The sequence below is a fragment of the Homo sapiens genome, chromosome 13 (assembly GCF_000001405.40).
Source record: "Homo sapiens chromosome 13, GRCh38.p14 Primary Assembly".
Classification (NCBI taxonomy): domain Eukaryota; kingdom Metazoa; phylum Chordata; class Mammalia; order Primates; family Hominidae; genus Homo; species Homo sapiens.
The window spans coordinates 27,647,211-27,667,730 of NC_000013.11; the positions used below are offsets into that span (position 1 = coordinate 27,647,211).

The following is a 20,520-nucleotide window of genomic DNA, read 5'->3' on the forward strand; positions in this document are numbered from 1 at the left end:
AAGTCTCAGAATATGGTTGATAAATATGTTTTCTGTTTTTTTAACCTCTTCAAAAATTACACAAATAATACATGTTCATTGTAGAAAAAATAGAAAATGCAGCAATGCAAACAGAAAAAATCACCTTAAAACTCATCTTACTGTTTTGATAACATCCCTCCAAATTTTTTTATTATTATTATTTTTATTTTTTTTAGAGACCAGGTCTTGCTATGTTGCCCAGGCTGGTCTCAAACTCCTGGCTTCAGGTGATCCTCTCACCTCACCCTCCCAAAGTACTGGGATTACAGGCATAAGCCACCACACCTAGCCGTCTCCAAATGTTTTTCTATGTAATATATATGTAAATAAATTTGAAATTAAGGTTATTCTACACATATTCTTTTGTACCAGCTTTATATACTGAATATGTTATGAGTGTCCTGTGCCAAAAATTCATTTGTCTTCATTTTTAATGACTGCCTAATCTTCCACATATGTGGATATGTTATGATTTATTTAACCAATCCTTTATCAGTAAATATTTAAGTTTTCTGTTTTTTCTTTAATTGTTAACAAGTAGTTTGAATATCCTTGTACATATACTTTTCCATACTTATTTGAATATTTTCATAGGACAAAGTAAAAAATTTTTAGATCAACTGGTATATACTATTCTTAAGGTTCTTTATTATGTTGCTGGATTGTCCTCCAGAAATGTAATATCAGCTTCAGTCCCCATTAGTAGAGAAGAAGTTATCCATTTCTCTACCCCCTCACTAACTAATGGGCAGAAACATTTATCCTTGTTGAGTTCACTGGTATTTCTTTGAATAACAGTGAATTTGAAAAAATATAGATATATACATATTTGGCTGTTCATGTCTTTTGGTTATTCAAATTAATAAGAAAAGATAATTCTTATATTAAGGATATATGATTTAACTGTCTCATATCAAAAATATTTTTCCAGTTTGTAATTTTTTTCTCTTCAATGTTGCTTCTCTTTATATTAATAGTTTCTTTTTAATTTATGTGTTCAAAATTGTCAACCATTTAAAAAAAAATTTGCCCCAGCAATCATGCTTCAAAAGTTAGTTCCTTTCCCAAGATCATGGACCTGGAATGAATTGATTTTCAGAACTTAGTAGGGTGACTGCCTCTCAAATCTTTTCCTTTTTCTTATCAGGAAAGCAATAGAAGAACTGCTTAAGGAGGCAAAACGTGGGAAAACTAGAGCTGAAACAATGGGACCCATGGGTTGGTAAGTTCTTTGAGTAATCTTCCTTAAAACTTAAGAAAAAATTCTTAGCTGGAGATATAAATATGTAAATCTTTAGCATATAGAGGAAATGGGAAACCATGGAAGCAGAGGAAATCTCTCAGAGACAAGTGTAGAGTAAGACACTGCTGAGAACTGAATGTTGAGAAACTCTAATAACATGAAGAAATGGGCAGCAGGCGCCTATGGAGGATACGCAGTATAGGTTCATTGTCCCTTTAGTTCACAAGTCTCCAAGAGGTATTTAGATACTACTGTGCGCAAAGTCACCTGTGCAAGAGTAATATTATGTTGGTGTTCATTGTTTAAGAATTTCTAGTTTACTTATAGTCCTTAGTAAATTAAAATTTATTTTAGGAAATTAATTTTAACTGTAAGCATTTTGATTATGTGACAATTCAGCCATGTAGAATTAAAGATTACCTTTGCAGATTATGTACAAAATAGAGCTTGTTAAAACTTAATAATATGGGCTGGGCACAATGGCTTATGCCTGTCATCCCAGCACTTTGGGAGGCCAAGGTGGGAGTATTGTTTGAGCCCAAGAGTTTGAGAATAGCTTGGGCAACATAGTGAGACTTCATCTCTACAAAACAAACCAAAAAAAACACCCTTCTAGGCACTACTTTAGTGATGCCATTTGCATTTGATGAATTTGTTGATTCTGGAATTTATATCTACAGTTAAAAACGTACTGCAATGGAATAAGGAGGGTCATTAAAAAGAGTAAAATGTAAAAATGTGAAAAGAGTAGAAGCTAAACTTCTGAACATAGCTCATTTTGTAATTTTGACATTTAGAACCATGCACATAGTTCACCTAAATTCCAAGACAAAAATTAAAATGGAAAAGATAATACCTAAAAATCAAGCAAAATAAAACATGGACCTGATAAACCATTGAGTGGATGGCTTAGCTACATGGAAAGAAACTATTTCAGGTGATCTGGAATTTGACTATATTTCCAAAAGATAAAAAATAACTACAAAGAAATTGTTTTCAGTCATCATATTGTTAGTAATAATATTGGTATTGCTATTCTGAAAATATTATATAGTAGGATAAAACAAGCAATACTTTCTATATATAAATACCAAGATTTAACATGAAAATTTTAAAGAGCTACAAATATAAAATCAAAGAAATAAAAACCTACCTATAATCCTAAATTTGAATTGGAAACATCAGTATGAGGTTGTGCTAGATTTTCTCTTAAAAAAGAGAGGGAGAGAGAAAAGCTTTTTCTAGTTCTCTTCACAGAAAAGGTCTAGAAACAATGACCACCCACCCAGTAGCAGTGAGCACCCCGGTGCCAAAACTGTGTTATGTAAATACCATTTCTCACTGAAAGGAGAGCGGAATCCTTAGAGTAAGAACTGATTGCAGACCTGAAGCAGTGCCCAGAGTTAGCCAAACTGCAAAATTAGAGGTCACAGTCCCCAAGACTATCCTTACTTCTTATTACCAACCACAAGTTCAGAGGGTTCCCCCAAACTACCACGCTTAGCTTCAATAATTCACTGGAAGAACTCACACAATTAACTGAAATCTGTTATACTTGTGGTTACAGCTTATTACAGGGACAAGATACAAACTAAAATCAGCCAAAATAAGACACAAAGATTAAAGCCACTGTTATCCTCTGCTCCGTGAAGAGGACATGCTACCCTCCCAGCATCAGTGTGTGATAATAAGCATGGAATATTGCCAAGCAAGGAAGCTCATCTGCGGCTCAGCATTCAAAGTTTTTATTGCGGTTTCATTAAATAGGTTTGAAGTCATGATATGCTACCCTCCCAGCATCAGTGTGTGATAATAGGCATGGAATATTGCCAAGCAAGGAAGCTCACCTGAGCCTCAGTGTTCAAAGTTTTTATTGAGGTTTCATTACATAGGTTTGATTGATGGATGGATGGATGGATGGATGGATTACATGACTGATCTCAGTTTCCAGGTTGACTGATACCACGTAACCCAAAGCTCTCACCCTAAGTCACATGTTAGTCTCTCTGGCATGGCCAGCTCCCACTCTAAGACTCTTAGGTGTGACCAGCTCCACCCTAAACAAAGACATTTCTATGACATTACTTTCTGGAAGCTAAGGCAAAGGCCAGCCCTCTCTTTGGGCCAAACCAAACTCTTGACTACATGGGCAGGAAATGTATAAGAGAAGCTGGAAAATCTTGTCACACCAGAAAGCAAAGAAACTGTCAAAGACCAATGTACTCATTTCAGAAAGACTCAGGACCCACTTGAAAGGTCTCCCACTAGTCAAAGATGATATAATTTGATTTAAAAAACAAATAAATGATTAAAACACCTAAAATATGTTAAAATCTGTAAGGTCATAATGATAATCATAATAACAAACCTGGTAGTCCCTTTTATAGGATGCTAGAGCACCAAATCACTATTCACAAAACTGATAAATAGGAAGAAGTAAGCATTTACCCTGTTCCCTGTACAAATTATACTTCAAAGTCACCAATTAATTGATGAAAGAAAACTTTACAGAAGAATTGTAACTAATATATTAGAAGGATTATAGAATAATATTATCATCATTTGAGTTTCAACACATTCATTAACCCTTATACCACAGAAAGATGCAAGAAGAGCAAACCACCACCTCTGGGGCATCCTTGTCAAAAAATTGAACCTGAATCTGATCAAGTCTCTAGTTAGAACTACTAGTTTGCAAGAAATACAGAGGGCAGAGAAACATGTTAAATGACACCATAAGGCTGCAATCACAAAAATCCAAAATGTGAGAAATGCTACAGGACAAAGAACCCAGTTTCTTTAACAAATGAATTGCAAGGAGAAAAGAAAGAAGAGTATGCTGTGAATTAATAGATTTGAGGAACATCAAATAAAATGGGTACCTTGTTTGTGTCTTTATCCAAACTAACTGTAAAAAGTTATTCAACAATTGAGGGTATTTGATGATATTAAGGAACTGATGTTGATTTTTTAGGTGTGATAGTATTGCTGTTATTTTAATTTTTAAAAGCCATTATCTTTTAGAAATGTATTCTGATATATTTATGGATGAAATTATATAATGAAATAATCCAATGTGAGTCAACCTGTATCTATCAAGTGTAATCATCTTAGCTTCAGTAAAATACCTAGTAAATAATAGATATATTATTTTAAAGTGAATACTGAAAAAAATGCTCAGCTTTAATTTTGAATATTTATATTAATAGATGTAACCCACATAAACAAAAGCTCTTTGGGGTGTCCACAATCATTTTTAGGAGTGTGAGTGTAAAGTACCCTAAGACCACAAAGTTTGAGAACCACTATTATAAGACAATTGAAAAAAATAAGAATGCCAGCAGGAATTATTGTCTTATAGACTCATGGGAAAAGTGGGAGGATGATAGTGAAAATCTGGTGAGATAATGTGTATGAAAACACCCAGCATGGTTCCTGGCATGTAGCAGTTAGTTAGTAAATATTAGTTAAATCTGCTCTTCTTTCCAGCCCTCCTCTGTGCTTTACAGAAATAAGGTGCCTCTACTATTGTGAGTCAGATTAGTATAAACTATTTAGGCACAGGGTGCTTTGGTTTCGGATATAAGGCTGTACCTTCATCAGGCTGTCAGTAATCATTGGTCCAATCTAATACCTATTAGAAAGACTCAGCATAGAGTTAAAATCATGCAATTTACAAGTGAGTAAGAAAATATCAATTATAGTTCTTGCTCTGTAAGGAGCGTTCAAGGGGATTGGTTGTTTCTTGCCAGCTCTCCAGATAGACATCATTTATCCTGACAACTTTAGTACCACCTACTGGCTTCATAAAACTTTCTGATAGTAAAAGAACTAGTGTATCAGTGCTAGTTCTGCTCTCCCTGGGGAAAGTTACCATGTGCACCAGACTGTCTTGAGATTTGTGTGGGCATTGATGTACTCTTTAGGAATAACACTGGTTAGGTTGGTAGTTACACAGAGTTACTGGGGACCCAGGCTCCTTCCAGTTTTCCAAATCTCCCAATCATAGGGTATGACTCTTTTCTACATAGTCTAATATAGTAACAGACACTGAGTCCACATTTCAGTTAGCAGAAAGGAAGGCACACCCCTTTCCTTTAAGAAAACTTGCCATGACTGGGCGCTGTGGCTCACGCCTATAATCCCAGCACTTTGGGAGGCCGAGGTGGGCGGATCACTTGAGTCAGGAGTTTGAGACCAGCCTCGCCAACATGGTGAAATCCCATCTCTACTAAAAATACAAAAATTAGCCAGATGTGCTGGCACACGTCTGTAATCCCAGCTACTCAGGCTGAGGCAGGAGAATCACTTGAACCTGCAAGAGGGAGGTTACAGTAAGCCGAGATCACACCACTGCACTCCAGCCTGGGGGACACAGTGAGACTCCATCTCAAAAAAAAAAAAAGAAAACTTGCCAGAAGTTGCATTTACCATTTCTTTTTTTTTTTTTTTTTTTTTTTTTTGAGACGGAGTCTTGCTCTGTCGCTGGATCTCAGCTCACTGCAACCTCTGCCTCCCTGGTGCAAGCAATTCTCTGCCTCAGCCTCCCGAGTAGCTGGGATTACAGGTGCCCACCACCATGCCTGACTAATGTTTGTATTTTTTTTTAGTAGAGATCGGGTTTCACCATCTTGGCCAGGCTGGTCTGGAACTCCTGACCTAGTGATCGCCTGCCTTGGCCTCCCAAAGTGCTAGGATTGCAGGCGTGAGCCACCGTGCCCGGCCTGTATTTACCATTTCTTCATGTACCCCATTGGCCAGAATTTAGTCTGATGTCTACATCTAGCTGCAAGGACAGAAATTTCATCTTTTTTTTCATAGGCAGTTGCGTGGCAGATAAGTATCTGGGGTTCTTTGACTACAGAAAAAAGAAAGAGCAGATATTGAGGGACAACTAGCAGCTTCTTCCCAGGTATAGGGAAAAAGCATGTTGAAAAGGGAGTAAATAAAAGATGGCAGGCAAAGTAAGATACTCCAGATTGTAAGAGGTGGATCCCGTGGGAGACTAGGATGTGAAATTACACTTTCCCATGAGTCTGAAAGACACGAATTCCTGCTGGGATTGTTACTTGGTTATCTCAATTGTCTTGGAACAGTGGTTCTCAAACATCTTAGGATACTTGCACTCTTACGTTATTGAGAACCCCAAAGAGCTTTTGTTTATGTGGGTTATATCTATCAATACCAATGTTTAAAATTAAAGCTGGGCAATTTTTAAGTATTTATTCATTTTTAAATAATAAATCAAATACATTAAGATAAATAACATTTATAAGAAAAATAACTATATTTGCAAAACAAAATGCATTGAGTACAGTAATTTTGGAAACCTCTTTGATGTCTGGCTTATAGAAGACACCTGGGTTCTTATATCTGCTTCTGAATTCGATCTATTGTAATGTGTTATTTTGGCTGAAGTATGTGAAGAAAATACTACCTTACAAAGATATGTATTTTCAAAAGGAAATACATATCAGAAAGTTTAACAAAGCCAGTAGGTGATACTAAAGTTGTCAGGATAAATGATGTCTATCTGGAGAGCTGGCAAGAAACAACCAAGCCCCTTGAACGCTCCTTACAGAGCAAGAACTATGATTGATATTTTCTTACTCACTTGTAAATTGCGTGATTTTAGCTCTATTTCAATAACTTTTTCAGAAGACTGTAGATATTCTTCTTTGATACTACATCAGAACTTTGCAAGTAACTTCAAGTAGTAATTTCGTAATATTCTTTTTAATAATGTGTACTTTTCCTATCCTATTACAGTAAAAGCCCTTTATATAATATCCTTGTACCTTGGCTGGATCTTCTACTTATTCTTGATTTTGTAACATCATCATTGGTCATCTGGAAAATATTGGTTCACTGAGTTATGAAGCTTCCAAATGTTGACACGTGTCATTATATAATATTTTTAAAATCACATTTGTAAATATCATCACCAATCTCATCAGATCAGTCTTTTAAGTGTCAAGGGAACCTGTCAAGTTCACAGTTTGCCAAAATTCTAATTTTCTTTCATCTGGAAGCTCCAGTTATATATTGGCAATGAATACTGGGAGTTGTTTTCCTAGAAGTGACAGGCCCACCCACATCTGAATAACCAGCTAGTTCACTTTGCCATTCAGTCACACAAGTACTTTTCCTTGAGGCCTCCATCATAATCTCAAGTACCAGAGTGCTTTGTATGTATGTCCCGTTTATACACATACATTATTAAAAAGACTGATGCTCAAGGGTAAAAATTTAACAAAATTAATAATTTGCACTGCTTCATCAAGGACATTCTCAAGTAAAACTGGCCATTTTTAACTGGAAGTGCATGGTGGTAAAGAGTACAATGACCACTGGTACAGTTTTTCATCACTGCCTTGTTTCTTGCCACTGTTTTACTTGTTGCTTTTGCACCATCAGTGCAAATGTCAACCTTCTGGAGAAAAGCAAATTATATCAAAACTATGGAAATAGCTTTGACTTTGTAGATTGCCTCATGAGTCTGGAGGACTCTCAGGGTTCACGGGTCACATGGTGAGAACTGCTGCTTTAGATAGGTGCCAGCAAGCAAATACAGCAAAACAAGGAAAATAACTAGGAGGAGAAAAAAGGAGACAAAGGGTCATTTGTTGAAGATAGGATGTCTACCCATAGTGGTTTAGCACAAGATAAACATTCAAAATCAATTCCTTATACAGTCAATAGCCCACTAGAAAATATAATGAGAAAAAAGGACATTGTTTGATTATCTATGATTGTGTGGTATAGTATATTTACATGTAATACACAAACATATAATTCTTGGCTGAACCATGTGAAAATTAATTGTAGGCATCTTGATACTTCAGCCCTAAATTCTTCAGCATGCAGATCTCAAAGACATTCTCATGCATAACCACATTGTAATTACCATATCAATGAAATTAATGTATAATTTCATATCATCATCTAACATCCCAAAAATGTCTTTTATAGTGGTTGCCTTTTGTTTGGGATGCAGATTCAGGATCCAGGCAAAAATGTTCCACATACTGGATTTGCCTTATTATGTTTTCTTGATTAGATTCAGGTCAAACTTGTTTGACAGGAAGGAATATTACACAGGTGATGTTTTTATACGTCTTAATTACAACAGATCAGGAGGACTTAATGTCAGGTTGCCCTTGATAAAGCTGGTGACTACCAGATCTCTCCATTATAAAGGTGCAATTTTTCAGCTAAGATATTTTTGGGAGGAATGAGATGAGAATATTGCATGCTCAATATAATAATAGTATGTAAATTTATAGTAATTAGTATGAGATTCGTGTAAGACTAAAGACATTAGTGAGAGAATAGAGAATCAAGAATAGAGACTGGGGGAAGAAAGAGGCAGGAGGAAGGAAGGGAGTGGAGAAGGAAAGAAAACAAAAAAAAGAATGGAGACCGACATATGTGTATGAACTAACTGTGTGGAAAAAGGTCATTGTTCATACTAGTGGAGAAAGGGTGGATTATTTAGTAAGTGATGCTGATACAGTTGACTATTCATCTGTAATACTGAAAATTAAAAACTAAACATACAAAATATGAATCTTATAGGAGAAAATACAGGATAATATTTTTATAATATTGGCAAGGATAAGGTAGAAACCTCCCTCAGCCAGGCACAAAACCTAGAAGCTATGAATGAGACAATGGCAGATTCAACCATGTCATAATAATAGTAAACTTCTACATAGAAAAAGATACCATACAAAAAGTTAACTTGTGAAAAGACAAGTGGTAGACTGGTTGAAATTATTTGCCATATATAACAGACAAAGGACTAATACTCTAAGTATTGAAAAAGCTTCTACAAATCAGTTTATAAAAAGAAAACCATATCTGTGTGTGTCTGTGTCTGTGTATGTGTATGTGTATATATCAAAACTACAAATGGCCAGTAAGTAAACATACTAACACATTTATTGAGTACTTAGCAGAGCTAGGCTCTGCTATTTTGACACTCATGTATCTGTAAACAGAATGACAAAGATTCCTGCTCTCTTGGAATTTATAATCTAATGGGGGTGGGAGTGCATGCATAGGTATTTATATTCCTCTTAAATAGCACTTAAATTTCACCATTAGATTGGCAGAAATGAAAGAGGCAGTAATCCAGTGGAGATGAAGGGATGTGGAAAGGGGTGCAGTGTTGTGCTTCAGGCAGTGGTGTGGTTTGCTCTGTGCAGGGCCATGGGCAAAATGTTGAGTCACAGTTCTCTGTGCCCCTTTACCCAGGATCTCTGCTCCCAGTAATCCCTCTTTCATAGAACTTAATAAATGTGTGCAGACCTAAGTACAGAATTATTGTAGCACATTTTGATAGTAAAAAAAGGGAAGCAGTCCAAATGTCCATAGATAGGAAAATGCTTAAATAAACTGTGGTACATCCTACTGTTGAATATTTTACAGTCACTAAAAAGAATTGGTCAGCACTATATGAATCCTTGTGAGAAAATATCTACTATGTATGTGAAAACCTGAGTTGTGGATCAATGCATGTAATCCTCTATTGGCCAGGTCAGGGAAGGCCATGGGACCCCGTAACGCATAAAGGTCTGTGAGAAGTTAGGCCTCCTAACAGTGAGCACTAAGGGGAGCATGAGAAGCAGGGAATGCTATCCATTGTAACCCTCTACCAGGGGCTCTGTTACAGTAATATATAACAAATATGTCTTCTATTTATCACTTTTTAACAGAGTTTTTTTAATTAGAAAATAATCTGGAGAGGTTTTTAAAAATACAGATCTCCAGCCAGGCGCTGTGGCTCACACCAGTAATCCTAGCACTTTGGGAGGCCGAGGCAGGTGGATTGCCCGAGCTCAGGAGTTCAAGAGCAGCCTGGGCAACACAGTGAAACCCCATCTCTACTAAAATACAAAAAATCAGCTGGGCATGGTGGCGCCTGTGTTCCCAGTTACTCAGGAGGCTGAGGCAGGAGAATCACTTGAACCTAGGAGGCGGAGGTTGCAGTGAGCCAAGATTGCGCCACTGCACTCCAGCCTGGGCGACGGAGCAAGACTCCATCTCAAAAAAATAAAAAATGAATAAAAAATAAAAATACACATCTCCTTCCCTGCCTCACTCTAGGGCATTCTGATAGAGAAGTCTAAGATCGGTCCTACAGGTTTTTTGTTTGTTTGTTAGTTTTTTAAGCTTACTAGAAGATCTCATCAATCAAGTTTGGGAAGCACTGCTCTGAACAATTGAGCAAGTCAATCCCATAGAAGACTTCACTTCATTAAAAATAAAAAGTTTATCTGCATTTTTCTCTATCTCTCTCATAATGTTCACATTTTGATTCTTGATCTGTGTTGCTCTGGAAGCAGGAATCTCTGGGTACTTGCTTATTCCAGGGGCAACTGTTTTTTCCTAGCCAGAGTTCAGTCCAGCAGTTCAGCACACCCAAACAGATATGGGCTATGAAAGGAGGTCTGGACCCATGACAACCGTGGCTTGCTTCTACTCACTAGTGCTGGGACAAAGGGCACCTGCCCTTCATCTGCTCGTTCTGGAAGATCACCTGGTTTCCATTTATTTAAATAAGTGTATGTGAGAAACTTTTAACCACTAGTCATTAGTTCTCAAATTTATCTGCACATTTGGAATCACCTGGAAAGCTTCAAAAAATACTGATGCCTGTGCCCCACTATCAGTGATTATGAACTTGGGGTGTGGCCTGGGCTTTGGAGTTTTAAAGAGCTACCCGGGTGATTCTAAAGTGAACACAAATTTGAAAAACATTTTACTAGTCCCTTTTGTTTTATTAAAAAGAATGATACCAGCCTGCTCTGCAGAATCCAGAACAATCCTACACCTCGGCCAGAGGCAGACAGCTCCTCTGCACTGAAATAGCACTTAGGTAGCCTGGCCAGGTGTTCAGCCACAAGAGTCCCAAGACCCATCGCTGTGGAGTGGACTTCTTGGACAGTTCTTAAAAGAGTAGCAATCTGTTGTTCACTAGTGGCCATGGCCTGTTTTTTTCTAAGTATCTAGAAGACCTTTTATTTGCTTTAAAATTTAAAATAGAACTAGAGTGAGTGGTATTATTTTTTTCATTTTGGATATTCCATAAGAAATAGATGGTTGAGCAGTTGCCAGAGAGAGATTGCTGATCTAAAGAAAATGCAAGTGGGATGCCATTTTTTATTTTATAAAGAAAGAGACCATTTGGTGCTATATTCTTCCTTGGATGTATTTCAGCAAAAGAATCTCTTTAGAAGCTGTTGTTGACAGATGCTTTAGGAGAAGCTGAAATATTGGCTCATATGACTTCCTTTTAGTCAACATAAAGGAATTTATAAGCATAAATTTCAGAAATTTGCCCAGCTTCATTGTCTACAAAGCTGTTTTAATTCTGGTCACATTCACTTTAGCTTATCTACTGCCCAATATAATTTCTGAGTCTAGTGCCTGTGGAACTTCAGCCTTATACTTGGAAAAGCTTATATTTTGGCAAAATAAATCCTAAAGGTTGAATTGAGAGAAAATGATTCTTGAGTTCTCTTAACCCAATTGTTTTAAGGGGAATGACTTTTTTTTATGCTTTTCTGTTTGGATTGAGAGTCAATCTAGAGATATGGAAGGAAGTCACCCATCTTGTTCTTCCAGTTTATGTCATCAACTGTTGATTATTGGAAACTAAATAATTTCTCCAGTCTTTATCCAGACATGTGTTTATTTATTTATATAAATATTCACAGGGCACCAGCAGGTATGTTAAGAGGCTGATCATGGACAGCAGTAAAGAAGACTCACTTTCCTGGCCTTAAAGTTTTTAATCCCCTGGTGGATACAGAAACAAGCATCAAGTGATCACAGTGTGGCATGCCACACTGACTGTGTTAGAACCAATGAGGAGGGGAGCAAGGGCTCACATCTCAGACGATTCGTGGAGGAGGCTCTTGGCAATATTTTCAGGCCACAGAGATCCAAAGCCTTTATACGTATAGAACATGAAACCCAAAGAGTTTTCCTAAAGCCCTGGCTAGCGAATTGCTGATGGGACTATAACTTTGCTTTCCTATCTGTCACTTAACACTCCTTGTATGGCATCACTTCTCTCTGTGGATTATTGTCTGATAACATGCTGAAATGCCAATGCTTACTGCCCCTGCTTCCCACATTCCTTTCATATCCAGTTATGAAAGTGAATGAGAGAGCCCTGAATGTGTTACTGTTAGAGCACATATCTATGTAAATGATTTGCGTTGCTGAGGGAGCTGGAGGCCGAGGATTATAGCCTTGCAAACTGTCTCAGTGTGTTACTATTCACGTATCTGCTTCTGAACTTTGACTTCCCCTACCTTCTGTTCCTCTTGGTAGTCTCCAAAGACAGAGACACATAAACAGATAGCTTGGTATGTATCTTTGCTACAGTGCTTAGCATAATGCGTTGCATATCTCAGGTGTATATATATATATATATATACACACACATACACACACACACATACATATACAGACAAACACATGTCAATGATTTTTTATTACTTTTAGGTACAATGTTGGAGACAGTCATTGAACACCCACTGTGAGCCTCAGGACTGTTGTACACAGTAATTAAGGGTTAACAGCTTACTAATAGGGATTATAACACCATAAAAAGCATTTTTCAGGTGGCCACATGCTGAGGCATTTGATTGCCAAATTATAAACTGTAGCACCATGGGTGGTTTTGGTAGTTGTGGCAGCATTAAACAACAAAATGAGTTGTAATCAACCACAGCATCAAGATAAAAAATATTCCCCTTGTTTCATGCAGAGTTGGGAGAGTTAGGCCTCTGCTTCAGTCTTTCTAGATGCATTATTCCAGACCTACATCCATGAGAGTGCAAAGACACGTACAGAATGGAAGATACGCTATTTGCTAGTATGGGAATGGATTTGTCCATAGAATAAAAGAACGCATTGAAGTGCACTGCATGGAAACTTGCTTCCATGACTCCAAGGTGTCTATTCCCTAACCATAAAAATAATTCTTATTTCCCACTACCTGTTCGACTTCACACATCTCAGAGTCAGGCATGTTTAAGGGACTCTCCACCTTTGTCCTTGGCTGTGTTGGTGACTCTCCTGGGCTCCTGAGTGGCCAGCTGTTCTCAGCAGACCTGTCACTGTGTGTGCATCTGCTGCTTCATGCCTGTCCTGGATGAGGAGCCTTAGCCACAGCGTGCTGACAAGCTTTTCACCTGCGGTTTCTTTCTTGACTGCTCTGTTAATTGGCCATCTGGTTGGACTGCAGTGAGTCTTTCTCTGCTCCACTCTCTCTGCCCCTTTCCAGACTCCCTGCTTCCAGTCTGGCTCCGCATCTTACTAGCTTGGGATGTGGATAGGCGCTGTACCTTTTTTCTTTTCTTTCCTTTCGGATGACGGCTGTGGAGATGAAATGAGGCAACATTGGTAATGGAATAGCACAAGGTAATTGTGTCTTCAACGTACCCTGTTGGCTGGCGATCCTGTGTCACTCTCAGATAGGTCCTATTCAGGAAATATTTTAGAAGCAAAAGGTAGCAGGTCTAAATCTGTGGAAAGTTAGATACTACTACCTCTATCCTTCAGCAAGAGAGACAAAAAAGATGAAAAGCTTATAATTCTAGCCCCAGTGAGTCTTCATCTCTCCAGTGGCAGATTCTTGAGCAGTCAGCCTTTCCCATGGCATGTGGAACCCTTCCATCACAGCCTCTGAGCCCACAGGTTTCAAAGTGAAGGAAATTGCTTTCCTTTTAAAGTTTAACCTGGATAGAATGCCAGATCTCAAATCTGACATTGTGTCATGGGTACTTTCCAAAGCAGATTTAACCAGTCTCATGATATTTAGGGTTTATATCCATTTATGTTGTTAGCACCTTAAATCTGGCTCTTACCATGTGAGCTAGCATAACTTTCTAGAAACAAAAATAAACTAAATATAAAAATAACTAGCCAGGGTGAGAAAGTCGCCCCCCAGGTCAGAGCTAAGACAGGAAATCAGCTGCCCTGTCCTGTGGCCTCCTCCAGTCCTTCCCCCAGCACACCTTTTGGGCATAGACAGTGACAGACAGTGCAGACACAGCAGGCAGCCGTGGCCTATGATCTTATGCTCAATTTCAGGGCTCAGATGGTTACCCTAAAGCTGATACGAGAAAAGCCAGGAATGGTGGAGTGTCTAATGCCAGTTTATCATGTCATCTCAAATACTGTGGAAGATCGGGGGAGGCGGGAAATGGCAGTAAGAAATAATTTCCTAATGTGATGAATGAGAAGAGTGAACTTTTCTAAAGAGTTAATGTACAGAGCATGAGCAGAGGATCCTAAAACTGGAAGGGACTCTAGAGATCACCCACCTACTTCAACCGTTAGTTTTACGTCTGAGGACAGAGGCCTAGAGGGTTTGTGGAACAGTTGGAAATACAAATGATAAGCTCAAAGGTAGTATGTAGTAGCCTCTTGATCCCGGTGGCAATGGAGAATTGAGATAGCCGGGAATCTGAAACTTCTACAAATACAAATCTAACCATGTTAAAAGTACCAAAACTTTTAAATTTTAACCCTTTTTTTGGAAACTTATGTAAAATGTCTCATTAACTTTTAATGATGGCTTACTTTTTTCTTAATCTTTTCTTTCATAGAGATTCTACTCTGTTCTTGATTAACTTATTATCACAGGTGATTTGAGGCTTTGGGATATCTTGAGTTGCCATCTTGCAAAAATTCCGGATGTATTAGCCTATTTGAGAGCTATGTGTACTCTTTCTCATGAAGAGAGAGTAAAATAATATATGTCCACCATCCTTTTTCTAAAACCTTTGTATCCAAATAAGTCTCTAATTTTAGATATTTTTACATTTTAGAAAGGTATTACAGCACAGATAGCATGTACTAGACACCCCCCCCACCACTACTCTGTACTTGTTCAACATGGTATCATTTCTTCAGCAAAACATGAATGTTTATATTAAATGGGATAAAGACTATATAAATAGCCCAAAGTCAGGTCAGATCAAGTTTTGCTGCCAAACAAACTTTGGTGTCATAAAAATAACTTGGTTTTAATAGGTTTTTAAATTTTGGAATTAGGGATAAGAAATTGTGGACCTGTAGGTAACATTTGTTGCAGTTTGCTGTATGCCAGATACCATGCTAAATGCCTTATACATTATCTCATTAAATCCTCACAATAACTTTATAAGGTAGATACGTCTGTTATTCCCATTTTGCAAGTGGGGGAAACGAATGCAAAGAGGAGTTAAGTAACTTGCTTGTGATCACACAGCTAATTAAATAGTAGGCTGTGAACCAAAACTGAAATTAACCAAATGCCTTTATGTGTCAGGCATTGTTCTGAGTACTTTACATGTTCTAATTCATTTGATCTGCATGCAACCCTTTAAGATAGTCGCCATTATTATCCCCACTTAACAGCTAAGAGGCAGCAGGGAGATTACATAACATGCCCAAAGTCCAGTCTGTTAGTGTGATTCCAGAGCATGTGTGCCCAGCCACTGTCTCATGTAGTGTGATTTCTTAGCAATGAAACAACCAACTGTGAGATTCAGCAAAATTAATTTCTACCTTAAAGGCCAGAGAAGCTCTCCCCACTGATTCCCTCAGACATTGGTTTTGATGTTGCCGTCCTTAGACTTGGATCTATTCTGTGCAGATTTTGGAATTTCTTTATATAAAATGATTTACTATATGTACCTTCACATCTGCTTGCAACTACTGTATCTCATTGCCCTGCCCTATTTATTAGTAGAGTGTGAATGAGCACTTGTCATCACTTCTAAAATGTGTACTGGCATGCCTGGGAGATGTCTGACTTTCAAACCCCACCTCCACCCCACCCCAGTAAACCAAGATCTCCTCAGGCCACCCTTGGCTATTTACCTAGAATAGAATCCCAGGCATAACCAACATTAAAAAACTGCATCTCTGATGTTAAAAGAGATGTAAATGCCAGTTTTCTTGTGGAATTATTCTATAAAACCATCTCATTCTCTGGCTAACTCTTTGGGTCACTATGTTGAGTCAGTGGGTTACACTAGCAGTTGGAAGATAGGTGCAGTCCCCTCTGCCTCTTGGCGTGAATGCTGCAGTTAGTAGCAGGGCTTTGCTCACCTCGAGGAAGCATTTGGTTTTAAAGATGATCTGACATTGAAAACAGCAAAATAGAGTGGAATTCACCAGTAGTTACCAAAGGTTTTGTTCTGAGATCCTGGATTACCATCACGTCTGGGAAAAGTACCCTTCCTTGTTGTTTAATGCAGAGAAGAACTGGCCAGTTTACCACCACTGAGATGGCCCACTTCAGTGAAAAGACCCCAGAATTCTTCTGTTGCTGGACATGTTTCACCAGCTACTCCTAGCCCTATATATCCAAGAGACATATGTAGTTCATTTGTCTATAAAAAAGATTTTGCTCTTGTAGTAAGCACCAGGCCACCATTGCCAAAGACAGGCCCTCTAAGCTTTTTACTCTCTGTGATGGAGGGTAGTTTTTCCTGTAGGCTGTCTGTGTTATGCTGTTTTGGAACATGCCAGTGTTTAATACTGTTCTGAATCATTGCTGAGTTTGCAACTGCAGTGGGTCAAGTGTCTTCACCAAAGCAACGCCTGCATTCAGTAGTACCCTGTCAGACCCTGCAGGAGAACTCGGCTTGCCTCTCATCACGTGCCTGTCTTCCCGCACAGGAATGTCCTAATGCCAGCGTGCCCCCAGGAGGTAGAAATGTCTTTACCTTGAGACTACTAAGGCAGCGTAATGCTGGTGTACCTTTTCTGGAAGCTCTGTGAAGCTCTATAGTTCGTACTTGCAGAACTGTTTTTTCTTTGTTTTTGCCTTTCTTCTTTGCCCTTCGTCTCATTCACTGTGGCTTCTAAACTCCAGAGCTGTCACCACCTCTGAATGTTCCCACTATTTCTGTTGCACTCCACTGTCCTTTTCTTAAATTTTCTAATTTTCCACTGTCCTTTTCTAAGTTTCTCCTTGTTCTAGTTCATTCCTTTGTCACTTTTCTGGCCTGACCATTTTTCTCAGATATTTTCTCTGTCCTTGTAGGCTCAAGAGCTACCTATTTGCAGCAGGAGGTATTTTCTTGTTTTTCTTCCTTTTACTTCCAGATTCAGTGCCATTTTGGTTTTCTGAGATGGTCTGACCTCTGTGAGTGAGGCTATGCTAATGCCTGACTGCTTATACTTCACCTGTACAGTACTAGTCCACACAATTCCTATGTGGAGTGTTGTTGGCTTGATTTTGAAGTATTGTTTGGGGTTCTCTGTAAATCAAAGTTTTATAGAAATGTGGCTATTCTACATTCGTTTTTGTTTAATACCAGCCACCCTGAATAACATGATTTTGAGAATCAGCATACTCCTAAAGTAGCCCATCATATGGCAGACACCTCAAGGCTAAGAGAAATATGAACGTTCTCATTTGTATAGGGTCATCTTTTTGAAAATGAAAGATTTATTAACACCTGAAAAAGATAATACATAGTATATAAGTAGATCTAAGCACATTAATTAGCAATTTGATTGGTTGCAGCCTCTCCTAGGTAAACTTGAATCATGAAGGTACTGAAATATATCCTGCACAGAAATTCACCAGGGCAGGAGATTGAGTAAAGTGCTCCTCCACAGAGCATAGCCTGGCATCCTGAAATAGAAGTGTAAGAATTTTTTTAAGTAAAAGATTATTGCATATTTATGGATTCTTTACACAATTTTTTTATTCTATAGTAGATCCTTTAGCTCCTGTATTTAATATACAGCAGAATATACTTTTTAGTTTCCTTGGAAAGGAACAGTTTTCACTGTCTGGTAATAAAACGCAAGATGCAATAAATTTAATCCAAAATAAGTTACAGTAAAATAGGGCACTTACTAGTTTGAAAGAAAATATTAAATGATTCTGTTAGTTCACAGTGTGGTCAATACCTGTACATATGAACTTCAGTAGGAAATTTAGTCCCAGGAAGGAAGAAAGGTTTAAAGTGTTCCAGCCAGTCTTGTCTCAAGAATTCCAATCGTCTTTTTTTTTCCTCCCTGGTACTCAGAGTTTACACTAGGTGGCATGCAAGGAAAGCTAACAAATTCAGAAACTCGATTCTGTGGGAGCAGGATTCTTTGGTACTAATCACGATAGTGGGTCCAGCTTTGGAGTTAACCATTTGATTTGTGATGGTTTTTCTTTTCTCCTCCCCACCCCAGGATGAAGTGTCCTCTTGCTAGCACCAATAAAAGATTTCTAATTAACACAATTAAAAACACATTGCCCTCTCATAAAGAGCAAGACCATGAACAAAAAGAGGGCGATAAGGAACCAGCGAAGAGCCAGGCCCAGAAAGAAGAAAACCCGAAGAAACACAGAAGCCATCCTTACAAGCACAGCTTCCGCGCTCGAGGTTCCGCCAGTTACTCCCCGCCACGAAAGCGGAGCAGCCAGGACAAGTACGAAAAGCGGTCCAACCGGCGGTGAGGCTGGAACCAGGGCCAGCCAGCCCTGCGGGCCTCCGTGCTCCTTCGGGGTGCGGTGTGCGGAGAAGGCCTGAGCTGGCAGGGCAAACACCTGAGAGTGACTTTGACATTAGGTCCTTTGTTGTTTTTAAAGAGGCTGCTGGCCACAGGCAAAAAAAATGACCTAGCAACTCTTGAGGAAACAAGTGCAAAGGAGGATGTCTTGGCAAGTTTAAGCTACTTCTGCAGTGTAGTAGACTTACATATTGTTGTTTATCTTGTTTGGAAGTGTGTTTCAAAATAAACATGTCTAGAATTTAAAGTTTTCAGAGATTGTTAAAACTGGTTCCAATTTTTTGGTCATTTCTCAGAAAAATAAAATACTTATAAATCCTATATTTTACTTTTTGGGGGTATTACATTTAAAATTTAGAAATCATCAGTCCAGTGACCATATTTATGAAAAGCTGTAGCCCTCCAAGGTCTGGGAATTTATCGAGAAGCTCTTTGATAGCTCTGCATTTGTTTTCCCTTAGGTGAACAATGTAGGAAATCCTCAAAGTGGCTTTGAATTTAATGCTCCACTTCAGTTACCAGAGGTTAAAAATGGGTTTTGTTGTTTCCTGTGCATTCTCAAACTCATTTATTAGATAGAACAATCTTTCTATATTTAATTTTTTTAATATATAGGTCTTAAGTGGTGCTTTAAAAAGAACCCTCACAAGTTAAAAATTAAGAGTTGTTTCAGTGCTAGATCTTACCAGCTAAAGACTTGTGATACCACTATATAGTATAGTTGTTCCAGAAATCTTCATTTTAAATAGAAGTGTTTACAATGCCTTTTTTCCCCCAGTATTGGTTTTCAATACCTGTTTTCATATACAATTACAAACCTTTCAAACCTGTATTCCTTCTTTATACTCAGGAAAATGTCACCAAGCACCCTCCTCCCCAGTTCACAAAAGGAAGAAGATGAAGATTCTGTCTCCCTGTTCCCCCTCCCCAGTTTTCCAAAGTGTCTGAGCATATGCCTGGCTGTCCTCAGATCATCACCATGCCACATCCCTGCTCCCTACTTCCTGGCAGCCAAGAAAAGCCCTTTCTACATGCTAGAAGGAAATACATCCAAAAAGTTAGCATTGGAGTGTTAGAAACTAGAATAGACCTCTCCGCCACCGAGCTGCTGTGTCACGCCCTCAGCCTGCTAGGGAGTGACAAGCCCAAGTCATTCTTGATCCACCCCTTCTCCCACCCCAGATCCCAGGGACTCATCCTGTGACTTTGTAACCACACTCATTCCTTTCAAACACAGAGGAGGAATTATTGCTTCATCTGACTTTATTCAAATCTAGTTATGTATTGGCCTAAATTATTTGTGCAAAATTTGAAATGTTTTTTATTTAAATATTAGAAATAGCACAAAGTCATGGAGTTTTTAAAAATTGTTATAATTAAGTAAAAATAAAGCTGAATTGTGTCATTTGTGTATGCATTCTGTATTTATTCATTATTTATTCATTTATTTTGTTTGAGAAGGAGTCTCGCTCTTTTCCCCCAGGCTGTAGTGTGATGGCACGTATCTCGGCCCACTGCAACCTCCGCCTCCTGGGTTCAAGCGATTCTCCTGCCTCAGCCTCCTGAGTAGCTGGGATTGCAGGTGTGCGCCAACATGTGCAGCTCATTTTTGTATTTTTAGTAGAGAGAGGGTTTCGCCACGTTGCCCAGGCTGGTTTCGAACTCCTGAGCTCCGGTGATCTGCCCGCCTCGGCCTGCCAAAGTGCTGGGATTACAGGCGTGGG

The 20,520-nt window shown here is 38.5% G+C and overlaps 1 protein-coding gene across 4 annotated transcripts in view; it reads left to right on the forward strand.

Moving 5' to 3' along the window:
* Window positions 1-20,201, forward strand: part of POLR1D (RNA polymerase I and III subunit D) — a 46,669-nt gene extending 26,468 nt beyond the window's left edge. For 3 of the 4 annotated variants that reach the window (XM_047430381.1, NM_001206559.2, NM_152705.3), the window contains 2 exons: window positions 1,169-1,243; window positions 18,476-20,201. In XM_047430381.1, the coding sequence (XP_047286337.1) occupies window positions 1,169-1,243; window positions 18,476-18,743 (343 nt within the window). In that variant the 3' untranslated portion in view covers window positions 18,744-20,201. Of the gene's footprint in view, window positions 1-1,168; window positions 1,244-2,830; window positions 3,032-18,475 lie in introns of those variants that run through there. The other variant, XM_017020622.2, reaches the window with a different exon arrangement.